This window comes from Homo sapiens, chromosome 3 (genome assembly GCF_000001405.40).
Source record: "Homo sapiens chromosome 3, GRCh38.p14 Primary Assembly".
Lineage (NCBI taxonomy): Eukaryota > Metazoa > Chordata > Mammalia > Primates > Hominidae > Homo > Homo sapiens.
In genome coordinates, this window is record NC_000003.12 from 97851693 (window position 1) to 97866730 (window position 15038).

Consider the following 15038-nt stretch of genomic DNA (forward strand, 5'->3'; position numbering starts at 1 on the left):
TAAGAGATGAAATTGGAGAAAGCCATGGGGGCTATATCCACCAAGACCTTGAAGGCAATGCCAGGGGGCTTGGATTTTATCCTGATGGCAATGCTCAGCCATTGGAGGGATTTAAGAATGATCATACTTGGCTTCTAGAAGATTGCTGTGGTTTTTGTCTGGAGAACATAGTGGGGGATAACAGATGTGGAAGCAGCAAATCCGGTTAGGCCACCGATAACACTATTCTAGGGGGCGCAGTTATGGTGATGGTGTCCTGATGTTTTCTCTGACTTTAACAAGTGGGAATTTTAAACTTTATAGAAGAAGGAAGAAAGGAGACATAGCATGGCCAAGTTCAGTTTGGAATGTTTTGAGTTTGAGGTCCAGTGAAGCATCCAGGTATGGAGATAGATGTCTGGTTGGTAGTTTAGGAGTCTGAGCTAATCTGAGGATCATCATCTGAATATTTGAGTCTGTGGGCAAGAGATTTCATAAGAGCATGAAGGAAAAGCTGATATAGGCTGGAAATTGGAGAAGCATGTTATATGAGGGATGGCTACAAGAAGTGAATGTGAAAGAGATGGAGAAGAGTATTCAGAGAGTAAGAAGGGAAACCTCAGAGTGATGCCATGGAATCTAAAGGAAGAATGGTTTTCAGGAAGAGATTCAGTCTCACATTCTGCAGACACATCATATAAGATCAGGACAGAAGAACAGTCCATTGGAGTGATTAGTCGTTAGAATGGTGTCCCTGAAAGGTCATGGTTAGGATTATTGGGGAGGTAGCCCAATTGTCTGGACTTAGGAAGTGATTGGGAGTAAAGGAAAAGAAACAGGGAGGGTTGGTAACTCCTTTGTAACGAGGTTAGTAATGAGGACAGAGGAGAAGGCTGTCTCTGGATATACTTTTGACACTTAGATTAATTCCATACTTAGCTGTTGTAAATAGTGCTGCAATAAACATGGGTGTGCAGATATCTCTTTGACATACTGATTTCCTTTTCTTTAGATGTATATTTAGAAGTGGGATTGCTGGATCCCATAGTAGTTTATTTTTGGTTTTTGGAGCAACCTCCATACTGTTTTCCATAATGATTGTACCAGTTTATATTCGCACCAACAGTGTATAACAGTTCCCTTTTCTCTACATACTCACCAGCATTTGTTACTTTTTGTCTTTGTGATAGTAGCCATTCTAACTGGGGTGTGATATCGCATTGTGGTTTTGAAGTGCATTTCCTGGATAATTAGCAATGTTGAGCATTTTTCATGTACTTGTTGACTATTTGTGTGTCATCTTTGATAAATGTCTGTTCAGATTAATTGCCCATTTTTATTTCTTCTAATTATTTTAATAGTTTAGTAGCACAGGTGGTGTTTGGTTATATGGATAAGTACTTTAGTGGTGATTTCTGAGATTTTGGTATACCCATCACCCAAGCAGTGTACACTGTACCCAATGTGTAGTCTTTTATCCCTCATTCCCCTCCCACCCTCCCCCCAAAGTCCCCAGAGTCCATTTTTATCATTCTTATGCCTTTGCATCCTTTTAGCTTAGCTTTCACATAAGTGAGAACATATGATGTTTGGTTTTCCATTCCTGAGTTACTTCTCTTAGAATAATGGTCTCCAACTCCATCCAAATTGCTGCAAATGCCATTATTTCATTCCTTTTTATGGCTGAGTAGTATTCCACAGTATATGTACACACAGACACACACACACATACAATACACACACACACACACACACACACACACACACGTTTTCTTTATCCACTCGGTTGATGGGCATTTAGGCTGGTTCCATATTTTTGCAATTGCGAATTGTGCTGCTATAAACATGTGAGTGCAGGTGACTTTTTCATATAATGACTTCTTTTCCTCTGGGTAGATACCCAGTTGTGGGATTGCTGGATAAAATGGTAGATCTACTTTTAGTTGTTTAAGAAATCTCCGTACTATTTTCCATAATGATTGTACTAGTTTACAGTCCCACCAGCAGTGTAAAAGTGTTCTCCTTTCACTGAATCCGTGTCAACATCTATAATTTTTTGATTTTTTAATTATGGTCATTTTTTGCCATACTTAAATATTGTGGTATCACAATCGTGGTATCACAATTGTGGTTTTGATTTGCATTTCCCTGATAATTAGTGATGTTGAGCATTTTTTCACGTTTTTGTTAGATTTGCTTTTGGGTTCTTAGTGATGAACTCTCTGCCTAAGTCAATGTCTGGAAGAGTCTTATGGATTTTATCTACTAGAATTATTATGGTCTCAGATCTTAGATTTAAGTATTTGATCCATCTTGAGTTGATTTTTGTATAAGGTGAGAGATGAGGATCCAGTTTCATTCTTTGACATGTGGCTTGCCAGTTATCCCAGCACAATTTGTTGAATAGGCTGTCCTTTCCCCCACTTTATTTTTGTATGCTTTGTTGAAGATCAGTTGGCTGTATTTGGCTTTATTTCTGGGTTCTCTATTCTGTTCCTTTGGTCAACATGCCTATCTTATACCAGTACCATGCTGTTTTGTTAACTATAGCCTTGTAGTATAGTTTGAAGTCAAGTAAAGTGATGCCTCCAGATTTGTTTTTTTGTTGTTGTTTGTTTGTTTTTTGCTTAGTCTTGCTTTGGCTATGCTTTGGCTATGTGGGCTCTTTTTTGTTCCATATGAATTTTAGGATTGTTTTTTCTAGTTCTATGAAGAATGATGGTGGTATTTTGATAGGAATTGCATTGAATCTGTAGATTACTTTTGGCAGTATGGTCGTTTTCACAATATTAATTCTACCCATCCATGAGCATGGGATGTGTTTCCATTTGTTTGTGTCATTGATGATTTCTTTCAGCAGTGTTTTGTAGTTTTCTTTGTAGAGATCTTTCACCTCCTTTGTTAGGTATACTCCTAAGTATTTTTTTTTTTTTTTGCAGCTGTTGTAAAATGGATTGAGTTCTTGATTTGTTTCTCAGCTTGGTCGTTGTTGGGGTATAGCAGTGCTCCTGATTTGTATACATTGATTTTTTTTTATCCTGGAATTTTACTGAATTCATGTATCAGATGTAGAAGCTTTTTGGATGAGTCTTCAGGGTTCTCTAGAAACACGATCATATCATCAGCCAACAGTGACAGTTTGACTTCCTCTATACGAATTTGGACCCTAAATTTCTTTCTCTTGTTTGATTGCTCTGGCTAGGACTTCCAGTACTATATTGGATAAGAGTAGTAAGAGTGGCATCCTTATCTTGTTCCAGATCTTAGCAGAAAAGTTTTAACTTTTCTACTTTTACTATGATGTTACCTGTGGATTTGTCATATATGGCCTTTATTTCATTGAGGTACATTCCTTATATACCTATTTGTTGAGAGTTTTTATCAAGAAGGGATATTAAATTTTATTAAACGTTTTTCTGTTTCAGATGATCAAAAGGTTTTTATCCTTCATTCTGTTGATGTGATGTTTATTGTGTTGTATATGTTGAATTGTCTTTGCATCATTGGGATAAATTCAACTTAATTATGGTATATAATCTTTTTTATGTGCTGTTGGATTTATTTTGCTAGTATTTTATTGGAGATTTTTGCATCTTGTTATTCTAGGGTAATGGCCTGTAGTTTTCTTTTGTGTGTGTTTGTGTGTCCATGTCTGCTTTTGTTATCAGGGTAATGATGGCCTTGCATGATGAATTTTTGAATAATTCTGTCTCCTTTGATTTTTTGAAATAGTTTGAGAATAATTGGTGTTCTTTAACAGTTTAGTAGAATTCAGCAGTGAGGCTGTGTAGTCTTGGGCTTTTCTTTGTTGGGAGACTTTTTATTACTTATTCAACCTTGGTACTAGTTATTGGTCTGTTCAGGTTTTCTGTTTCTTCTTGCTTCAATTTTGGTAGCTTGTATATGTCCAGGTATCGGGGAACCTGCCCCGATAGTCACGTAGATTCTTTTCTATTTTCCTTAAGCGTCAGCTGGCTTGAGAAATAAAGGGACAGAGTACAAAAGAGAGAAATTTTAAAGCTGGGCGTCCGGGGAAGACATCACATGTCGGTAGGTTCTGTGATGCCCCACAGGCTGCAAAAACCAGCAAGTTTTTGTTAGGGTTTTCAAAAGGGGAGGGAGTGTGCAAATAGGTGTGGGTCACAGACATTAAGTACTTCACAAGGTAATAGAGTATCACAAGGCAAGTGGAGGCAGAGCGAGATCACAGGACCACAAGACTGGGGCGAAATTAAAATTGCAAATGAAGTTTCGGACACCACTGTCATTGACAACATCTTATCAGGAGACAGGGTTTTGAGAGCAACCGGTCTGACCAAAAATTTATTAGGCGGGAATTTCCTCTTCCTAATAAGCCTGGGAGCGCTATGGGAGACTGGGGTCTATTTCACCCCTACAGCCTCGACCATAAGATACGGGCACACCTAAGGGGGCCATTTATAGGCCTATACCCCCAGGCACGTATTCTCTTTACCAGGGATGTTCCTTGCTGAGAAAAAGAATTCAGCGATATTTCTCCCATTTGCTTTTGAAAGAAGAGAAATATGGCTCTGTTCCGCCCAGCTCACCAGCGGTCAGAGTTTAAGTTTATCTCTCTTATTGCCTGAACAATTGCTGTTATCCTGTTCTTTTTTCAAGGTGCCCAGATTTCATATTGTTTAAACACACATGCTCTACAATTTGTGCAGTTAATGCAATTATCACATGATGAGGATGGCGACATACATCCTCATCAGCTGACAGCATTAAGAGATTAAAGTAAAGAGAGGCATAGGAAATCACAATGGTATTGATTGGGGAAGTGATAAGTGTCTATGAAATCTTTACAATTTATGTTTAGAGATTGCAGTAAAGACAGGCATAAGAAATTATAAAAGTATTAATTTGGAGAACTAATAAATGTCCATGAAATCTTCACAATCCACGTTCTTCTGCCATGGCTTCAGCCGGTCCCTCCGTTTGGGGTCCCTGACTTCCCACAACATCCAGGAATGTATTCATTTCCTCTAGGTTTTTTTTGTTTGTTGGTGTATCATTATTCACAAAAATTTCTGGTAAGCCTTTGTATTATGGTGGTATCGGTCATCATGTCTCCTTTTTCAATTCTGATTTTACTTGGGTCTTTTCTTTTTTCTTAGTCTGACTAATGGTTTATTAATTTTGTTTTTATAAAAAACCGACTTTATGTTTCATTGCTCTTTTGTATTATACTTTAGTCTGAATGTCATTTATTTCTGCTCTGATTATTGTTTTCTTCTAATTTGGGGGTTGGCTTATTCTTGCTTTGCTAGTTTCTTGAGGTGTACTGTTAGGTTGTTTATTTGAAATAATTTTTTTATTTTGATGTTTGTTGCTATCAGTTTCCCTCTTCTGCTTTTGCTGTATCCTATAGGTTTGTGTATGTTGTGTTTCTACTTTCATTTGACGAAACAAATGTTTTAATTTTCTTCTTTTTTCATCGGTCATTCAGGAGCATGTTGTTTAATTTCCATGTGTTTGTACAGTTTCCAAAATTTCTTTTGTTATTGATTTCTAGTGTTATTCCATTGTGGTCAAAAAAATACTTCGTATGATTTTGATTTCTTAAAAAATATGTTGAGACTTAATTTGTGGCCTGAAATATGATGTGTTCTGAAGAATATTCCATTTGCTGATGAGAAAAATGTGTATTCTGTAGCTATTAGATGAAATGTTGTATAAATGTTTGTTAGGTCTATAGTGAAATTTAATCCGCGATTTCCTTAAGTTTTTTTTTTTTTTTTTGGTCTAGATATGTCCAAAGTTGAGAGTGGGATTTTGAAGTTCCCAGCTATTATTATATTGGGATCTAATACTATTTGCTTTATGTATCTGAGTGTTCCCGTCTTGAGTGCATGTAGATTTACAGTTGTTACATCGTCTTGTTGAATGGGTCCCTTTATCCTTATATAATGGCCTTCTTTGTCTCTTTTTGCAGTTTTTGACTTGTAGTCGGTTTTTGGCTTCCATTTGTATGGAATGTCTTTTTCCATCCATTTACTTTCATTCTGTATGTGTCTCTATATGTGAAGTGAGTTTCTTTTAGGTAGCATATAGTTGAGTTCTGTTTTTTTATCCATTCGGCTAATCTATATCTTTTCATTGGGGAATTTAACCATTTACATTTACGGTTATTATTGATAAATAAGGACTTACTCTTGTCATTTTTTAAATTATTTTCTGATCATTTCGTATATACATTGTTCCTTTCTTATGGTTTATCTTTGGTGGTTTTCTATCATGATGAGGTTTGATTACTTTATCTCATTTATGTATCTTCTCTATGAGTGAGCTTTATACTTTTGTAGTTTTATGATAGTAGATAATGTTTTGCTTCCAAATGTGGGGCACCCTTAAGCATTTCTTTAAAGTCTATCTAGTGGTGATGAATTTTCTCAGTTTTTGTTTGTCTGGAAGGGACTTTATTTTTCCTTCATTTCTGAGGGATAGCTTTGCTGGGTATGTTTTTAGTTGAGTTTTTTTTTTTTTTTCTTTCGGCAACTTGAATATATCAGTCTATTCTTTTCTTGCCAATAAGGTTTCTGCTAAGATATATGCTGTTATTCTAATGGAGATTCCTTTGTATGAGACTTGACATTTTTCTCTATTTTTAGAAATATTTGCTTTTAGAAAATTTGTTGACTTTTGATAGTATGACTATAATGTGCCTCAGAAAGGACCTTTTGAGGTTGAATCTATTTGGGGACTTTTGAGCTTCCTGGATCTAGATGTCTATATTCTTCCAAGACTTAGAAAGTTTTTAGCTATTATTTCATTAAATAGGTTTTCTGTGCCTTTTCCCATCTCTTTTCCTCCTAGGCTTTCCTTATTCCTTTTTATTTTCTGATTGGATCATTTTAAAAAGCCTTTCTTCAAGTTCAGAAGTTTTTTCTGCTTCATCTAATCTATTATTGATACTTTCCATTGTATAGTTTATTCACTGAATTTTTTCAGCTTCAACATTTCTGTTTGGTTCTTTTTTATGACACCTATCTTGTTGACTTTATCATTCATATCATAAATAGTTTTTCTTATTTTATTGAATTGTCTATCTGTATTTTTTCGTATCTTGCTGAATTTACTTAAGATCATTATTGTGAATTCCTTTTTAAGCATTTCATAGATTTTCTTTTCTTGGTTGTCTGTTACTGGAGAATTACTGTATTTCTTTGTGTTACATTTCTTGCTTTTTCATGTTTCTTGTATTCCTACATTGTTACTTATGCATCTGGTGGAATAAGTACCTTCTTCAATTTTATGGAGTAGCTTTTGTAGGGAAAGATTTTTTCTTACAGATGTGATACATGGTGTCTGGCTTTGGATTTGGTTCTAGGTAGGCAAAGTAGTGTAGTCACAATATGTTTTTTTGGGCTGTCATCAACATCTGTGAGTGCTTCAGTGGCCTAGACTATGTGGGTCTGTGGAAGCAGTGATATGGCTTTGGTTTTGCTGGGGGCAGTATCGTCAGTGACAGTAGTCACCTAACAGTCCTGTTCCCAGTTTCTGAGTGGTGTGTGTATGCCATTCAGCTCCACTGATGAAAGGGGCACAGTCACTGGTAGTGTCAGGCTCCTGGCAGCCTGTTTTTGGGTCCTGTGGTGAGGGTGCACATTTGATGCTTAGCAGTTCCACTGCTCAAGGGGGCAGGGCAACATTGTCTACATGTTGATCTTGTTTACTATACCAGGTGCCACAGCACCCATCACATGCTACGGGCTGCTTAAGGAGGTGACAAAATACTGCTAATTAGACCTGCAAAAAAGTTCAGACATCACTAGAATGTAGGTACCATGAAAGCCAGGATTTTGGTACATTTTTCACTATTGCATCTAAATGCCCATAATAGTATCTTGTTGATTATTTATTGAATGAATCAATACTTTAAAGTTTACATTGAACCTAACTGCTTTTTTGTTTACCTAGTTTTAGCCTGTTCATTTGGAGCTGCATTCCCCAGAAACATTGTTTCAAATTCTCTAAATTTTGAGAACCCAAATCCTAGTTTCACCTTTTTGTCTCTCCTTCAGCTTTTCTCTCCTTTCACTTTACTGAGGTCAGAGCCATTTGTTGGGCCATATTGTCTTTTCACTTACAGAATTTATAAGGCTTTAGCCACTCTCCTTGCCACTTTACTTGGCAGAGAAGATGTCCTTCTCTCCAATGCTAATACTTTGTCTTTATTATAAGTATTAGAAATTATATTGTTCTCTTCATATCATCACCTCCTTCCTTTCCTTCTGGAACCTGTCATCTATCTCTTTATACCATAGTCACTCCCTTTCCAACAAGTATAGAGCTGATTCACAAAACAGTAAGTTCTGTCCTGGAACTTAAAATGGATTTTGTCTTTCCTTCCTTCTAGTTAAAAATCTCTGAAAAGGTTTCCCATCTACTTATGACTATTCCTATTTCCTTGTTAGCTACTCACTGTTTAGCACCTCAAGTTTTGGACTGAACACATGAATTCTTGAACTGTTATGACTGTTTCTCCTGCATTCTTAAGGCTTTTCCATTTCTTCATTTATTACTCTAACAAACATTTGAGCACCTCTTATTATCAGGCATGTTTCAAGGTGGTAGAGATACTGCAGTGAATAAAATAGATAAAAATCGTTGGCCTTGTGGATGCTACATCCTAAAGGAGGAAACACATATTAAATGTTGTAGGTGTGTGTTGTGTGTGTATTTACTATAATAGTAAGTACAAGAAGAAAAATAAAACAGAAAGCGGTTAGGCAGTTTTACAGTGGAGGGGTCTGCTATTTTAGATCATGCTGAGAGAATTTTCATTGGTGAGATGGTTTTCAAGTAAAGGTCTGAAGGAGGCGAGAGAGAGTGAGTCATATAGGTATCTGGGGGATGAATATTGTAAGTAGAGAGAAGAGTAAAGGCAAAATTCCCAAGGTGGGTGTGTGCCTGATGTTTCTGAAGACTAGTGAGGAAGATAGTCCTCATCTTTCTTGAGCTCACAGTGGCATTTGGCATTCTTGACTCCTGTCTGCCTTTTGAAGTGTTCTTTGTTTCTTTGGAGATCTCTGGTATTCTATAGAGACTAACCTGGTCTGGTTTTGACCTCCTCTATCTCTTTCACTGGTTTCTTCTTTTCATTGTTTTTGACTTGTAATCTTTTTTTTCCATAGGGATCTTTTGTTGTTTCCTCTTTTTTTCCTGCGCACATCGTATATTGCCAAACTACATTCTTAAATTGTGCCTCTGTTTATCAGACATCTCAACTTTTGTATCACAAGGGACCAAAAATTTCACATTTGACAACTAAATAGTTCATTGCCCTACCTGCCACTTACCCAGAGCCCTAATTTTCACCTCCCTTTCTATTCTCCATGTCCATTTTTTTTGGCTTACCTAATCAAATTGTTGTCTAATTTAGAGAACTCAGTTATCTGTGACCATATTATTCCTCACCCACCACTTCTAACTGGTCATCTTATCAAACTCTTTATCTTCTGTGCTCCAGTCTTCATCAGCCATATCCCTGCCATAGTAAACATATTTCAAACTTCTGTGTCTTTGTGCATACTATGGCTTGTGTCTAGAATACTCTTAACACTCTTCGAATTAAGCTCAAATGTTATCTTCTATGCAAAGAAGGTTTCTCTACATCCCCACTCGTTAATTATGTCTTCCATTGTGTACATATCTCTTGTAAGCCCCCTACAGTGATATTAATATAATGATGAGTATGTTCCTAGCTTGTAAGCTCCTTGAAGACCTCAGCTAAATCTTATTAATCAGTATACATAATGCTTTCCTGTATTTTGTTGCGTTGGGCCCCAACATAGCAAAGAGAGTAGATAGAGAAATGCATTTGGACTAAGAGTACTGCATTACAACATATTGAACATGAGGGAAAAACATTGAAAATTCCAAAGATACATATGCCTTCATCAGTAACATTCATATAGTATACACATAATACCAAAATCTTGGAGAGCAACTAGAATGAACATTTTGTTAATGTTTGCCTGAGTCCTGAGTGCTTTCATTCTACTCATTCATTGCTACAATGGTAGACAGTCCTGTTGGCAGACAGATATAGGGCCCGCATAATGAGGGCCTGTAGGTAGGCTGAACTTGTCCAGGTTGAGGGTGAAGAACAACTGCTTTAGATCAATCTTAAAATTTTAATTCTATAAATACATAATTTATTGCAGGTGTTTACTTTGAATAGCAGTGTATTTTTCCTGCTACTTTTTTGTTTCTAAATTCAGAAACTTTTTGTTGTTGAAGGTGTTTTAATTACGAATACGCATTTCTCGTAAGATTATGAGGGAAAAATTAAGCAACTAAAACATTTAAGGGAACTAAAAAATACTCTTTAGTAAACTTATAGGGATTCCGGAATAGCAAAGAAGCAGACAGTTAAGGGGAAGGAGAAACAAGTTTTTTTTTTAAAAAATTATTTACTACTTTAAAAAGGTTAAATGTAAAGTCTTTCATTAGTTTCACAAAATGTATCTTCCTCATTTGGAAAGCAACCTGTTATGCTTTGAAAAGAATGAGCAAGTAAAAATAATAGGGAGATAAATACATTTTTGACAAAAATTACTGTTTTGAGATTTTAATGATGTTAAAAGTGGTAATCTTGTTCATTTTCTTCTTTTAAATCATTGCCCAGATTATATAAGACTCTTTTGCAAATTTTTAAAGCATTTTAAGGATATTTATGATATTTTAATGAGCAGCCTGTAGTTCGCTTTCTTCAAGTGGCGACATAGGATGAGCAGCCACTTCATACTACTTATAGAAAAGAATTAATTACTGTTCTTTTCATGTTCCAGTGTTCTTTTTGACCTGGGGAGAAATATTGTGGCTAAAAGTTACAATAAACCAAATTGTTAACAAAAAATGTATATCTTTCATATAAATGACCATTTTCAAAATGTCAATTAGCATATCTTCTACTGCCAAACTGAGAGGTTGTTTATGCTGTTTATATGAGGAGAGGGCACAGGTGACTTATAGTGCCAGCTCTCAGAATGAGCAGAAGGTTGGACGGGTGAGGTGGAGACAACTGGAATCAAATTGTAGTTGAAACTAGTGAAAGGTGAGATGTGCAGTGTCTCTAGAATCTGGCTGGTGACATTCTAAATGTAGAGGCTCACAAGATGTATTAAATCCTAACACATCAAACAATGCCATGTGCTTACTCAGAAATCCCCTTTGACACCTGTGGGAACAAATTTAAAAGTATTGTTTGCTTGCAATCAGTTTGCTGAGTTAATAAGTTCTAAACATTTTCTCAACCTTTCATATGCTAAATCTTTTTTAAAGGTTAGTGAAATACTCCTTTATACTAATTTGAACTTAGATCAAAACATGGAATGAGGTGAAAAAATGACATTATAATTATGATGTTCTTGCCTTCTGGAAGATCAGATTCTTATAAAACATTGTCATGTGAACCTAAAGTGCCCTAAGGTGGTTTTGCCTTGGTGTCCTGATTGTTTTCTGACTCACACTTGAGCTTTCCTTTTATAAGGGCTAGTGAGCATAATAGGTGACAGAGACTGTAGGATGGGCATTCTTTTTACAATTACGTAAGTGAGCATGTTTGGAAGGCAGGGTGAGTTGGCTCATGGGCCTAAAGCTTTTTAGAATCTGGAAATAGCATGAAGTGGAATGCCAACATACTCTGATATAGCAGCTCAGTTTTTCCTCATACAGAGTATGCATTAATGTGAGTTTGCTTTACCAGTAACTTAACTATGAGCAGGCAAAATGGACTTCTGCAACTGTTTGTCTTCAAGTATGCCCAATGCTATCCATGGTTTGAATTAACATTATGTATCAGGACTTCCTGTTTTACCAGGAAGGGGTCACAAGTGGGCTCTTTCTCTGAACTGAAGTACCATGTTACTGTCTTTTCCTCATCTTCTTGAATAATGTTTCATATTGTGCCAGCTTTATGGGTTAACACAATGCTGAAATGATGAGGTCTGTTGAGGTGTTATCTCAAGTACCAAGAACTTGAAATACTCTCCCTTATCTCTGTAATAATAAAGGCTAAATTTAAATACTCATAAGGTTTACTGTGGTCTCTTTACGTCTCTCTCCATATTTACCTCTCACTCTTGTCATTTTCGTACCCTAACCTCCAGTCATATTAAACTCCCTTAGGAGCTGACACCTCACTAAAAACACACACACATGCATGAGCATCACATAGTCACTTTTTCTGTCCTCTTTAAAGAGTGTACTTCCTCTAGGAAGCATCCCCCAAGTTACCTTCTGTGCTCTCACTTCTACCAAGTCTGGACTAGTTGCTCGTGCTCTGGGCTCCCATGTGTGCAGTACTTCTCCCCTCATGACATTTACCGTATAGCTTTTTAAAGGTCATGCTTACTGTGCTCTTCAGTAGATTGTGAACTGCCCAAAGGAACAGAAGCCATTAGTCTTATTCACAAATGTATCCCTGGTGTCTACACAGAATCTGTTTTATAATAGCTTATCAGTCTGTTTCATTATTTAAATAATGATGCTTATGATTGTCTATTTTGTTTTCAAAGATTCGCCAAAGTGAGGACAAAAGGAACCATGCTGAGAAGCCAGTCACTCTTCCAGTGCAGGAAGATCCCAAAAAGGCATATGATCTTTCCAGTTCCACTTCAGATACCAAAATAGGAGAAAGTGACAGACAGCCAAAAGAAAGCTTTTTTCAGTTTCTTGGTAACTTATTCAATATCTCGGGGAAATCATCTCTAGGTGAAGCTAAGCAGTCTTCTTTCAAAGATGACCAGGATAAAACTGAGAAGGATTTACAAAATCCCAGTGACCATCATGAAGACGGGATCAAAAGGGAGAGAGAGATTTTCAGTGGCTCCCTAAGAACCCAGACACATCCAACAGAAGAACAAGACTCTAACTCATCCGAACTCTCAGATGCTTTTTCTTTGGATACAACACAAGACAGTGACCAAGAAACCACTAATTTGCTAAAGTAAGTTTAAAATTTCATTGAACCAAAAAAAATTGAGCTTTTTGGACCTAGCTTTTGAGCTTTAGCTTTAATCCTAGTAATTGGTGGGATTGGAAAAGATATTCTGTAGTGTCCCTACTACTGGGTAAGAAATTGTATGATTCTCTGTACCATACAAGTAATCAATCATGGTACAGAGAACCATACAGGTAATCTAGGGCCTGCAAAATTTGTCTTAGTAAAAGATTCTTTTTTTCCCTGCATGGTAATGTTTTCTGTTGCTTAGATTCTTCCTGTGTCAGGACAGGCAATGTATTCAATATGTGCATTTTCGGGGAAAATGGTCCTCAGGTTTATATTCTTATTCTGTCAATATCTTTGTTCTGTAAAATTTAATTAAAGCCATTAAGAAAAGCAATTAAATGGACTCTGTTCATGAAACTAGCTTTATGAATCTTTACACAGCTCCAAGAAACTAAAATATTGCTTGAATTGAAGGAGCATTTTACCACCACTTTCTTCATTGTTTGATTAACAAACACACATCCACTTGTTTTTCCTTTTACTCTCAAATGAGGTAGAAGGAATATTTTGTAATTAAGGAATGTTTATAACATTGTTGAGTCCATTCAATATTTTGTGTGACATAAAAGTATTCATTTGTAACTAGTAAGGTTCTGTTTTATTGATTTTACTTTTACCTCTGCTGGAGAATTTATTATTTGAAGAAGCCATCAAAAATATTATAGTGAGATATAAGCACTACCTTATAATTATACAGTTCTTTATAGTTTCCAGGAAGTTCTTTATAGTTTCCAGGTGTCTTCATGTAGGTGCTTTCAGTTAATTCCTCGTAGTAAACGTGTGATTTAGGCACAGACCTCTCTTACAGCTCTGTGAAAATTAGATTAGAGTTTGTCCATCAAGAATAATGTTGTGGGGCTTGTTCAACCTGATGTTAAAACATATTGATCCAGCTGTGGTATTTGAAACAGTGTCATACTGATGTAATATTTGCTAGACATTTAAATCGAGCAGAGTAGGCAGCCTAGAAATATACTCTCTTATATGTAATTTGAACCCTAGAATATGATGGCATTATGTGTTCCTCATCTTTGTACTAAAGTAAATTAAGATAGAGTAACAAATGTTAAAAACAATAAAAAAGTTAAATTGTACATTTTTATTTTGGTGAGAAATGACTTTCTAACCATAATAGCAATGGAAGGTATCAATAAAGAGATCAGTAGATTAAAATTTATTCCCAATTTTCAAATTCTTTTATGTCAAATAACATAAGCAATAATAAATTTAAATGGAAAATGAGAAAATTATACACAAAAATGACAGAGAATGCTTTGATAAGCAATTTAGACAACAACTCACCAATAGAAAAGTCAAACAATATAAACAAATCTTTCAAATAAAAGAAGTCTAATCTGTTAATAAGTGAAAAAACATTTATTTTCATTATCAAGGAAATGCAAACTAAAATGAGAGTTTTTTCCCCTGTTAAATTGATAACAATAATAATAAATGATAATACCCTGAGTGAGTCAGAGTTGATAAGGCTGACACTCATATACCCTGCTAGGAATGGAGTACAAATTGGTAGCATTTTTTAGAAATTCAATTGGCAATATATATCAAGAGCCTTAAGTTTGTAGGTTATTTCTGATAACGTACAAAGGTGTTCATTCAAACATTATAGGAACATATATTTGGAAACCAGTGTCCGACAGCAGAAAAGTGGCTCAATTGTGCTGCATCCATAATATGGGATTACGATTGTCTAAAGCAGTACTATTCAAAGTGTGGTCCTTGGAGCAGCAGCAGCATCATCACCTGGGACCTCATTAGAAATGCACATTATCTGATCAGATCCACTGAAGCAGAATCTCTGCAGGAGTGGGGCCCAGCAATATTCTAACAACCTCTTTAGATGATTGTTTTGCTTGCTCGCATTTGACATCTAGCATTTTAAAGTAATTTAAAATGGTGATAATTTTGAGGTTGTTACAGTAATTGGGTAGAATGGGAAGTTTGTACTTTTTCTCCTTTGATTTTGATTGGTTAGGTCAGATTTTTTTTCTTTGGTACTAGT

General features: G+C 35.9%; 1 protein-coding gene and 1 long non-coding RNA gene across 7 annotated transcripts in view; one reads left to right on the forward strand and one right to left on the reverse strand.

Moving 5' to 3' along the window:
• The window catches only part of CRYBG3 (crystallin beta-gamma domain containing 3), a 122974-nt gene that overhangs the window by 29682 nt on the left and 78254 nt on the right, over positions 1-15038 (forward strand). For all 3 annotated transcript variants that reach the window (NM_153605.4, XM_005247117.5, XM_047447439.1), the window contains one exon: positions 12525-12955. In NM_153605.4, the coding sequence (NP_705833.3) occupies positions 12525-12955 (431 nt within the window). The remainder of the gene's footprint in view (positions 1-12524; positions 12956-15038) is intronic.
• The window catches only part of LOC105373994 (uncharacterized), a 36261-nt gene that overhangs the window by 14699 nt on the left and 6524 nt on the right, over positions 1-15038 (reverse strand). For 2 of the 4 annotated variants that reach the window (XR_007095970.1, XR_001740811.2), the window contains exons 2-3: positions 13701-13828; positions 12244-12384 (exon numbers count right to left, since the gene is read on the reverse strand). This is a non-coding gene — a long non-coding RNA (uncharacterized LOC105373994). Of the gene's footprint in view, positions 1-11105; positions 11186-12243; positions 12385-13700; positions 13829-15038 lie in introns of those variants that run through there. The other 2 variants (XR_007095969.1, XR_007095971.1) reach the window with 2 other exon arrangements.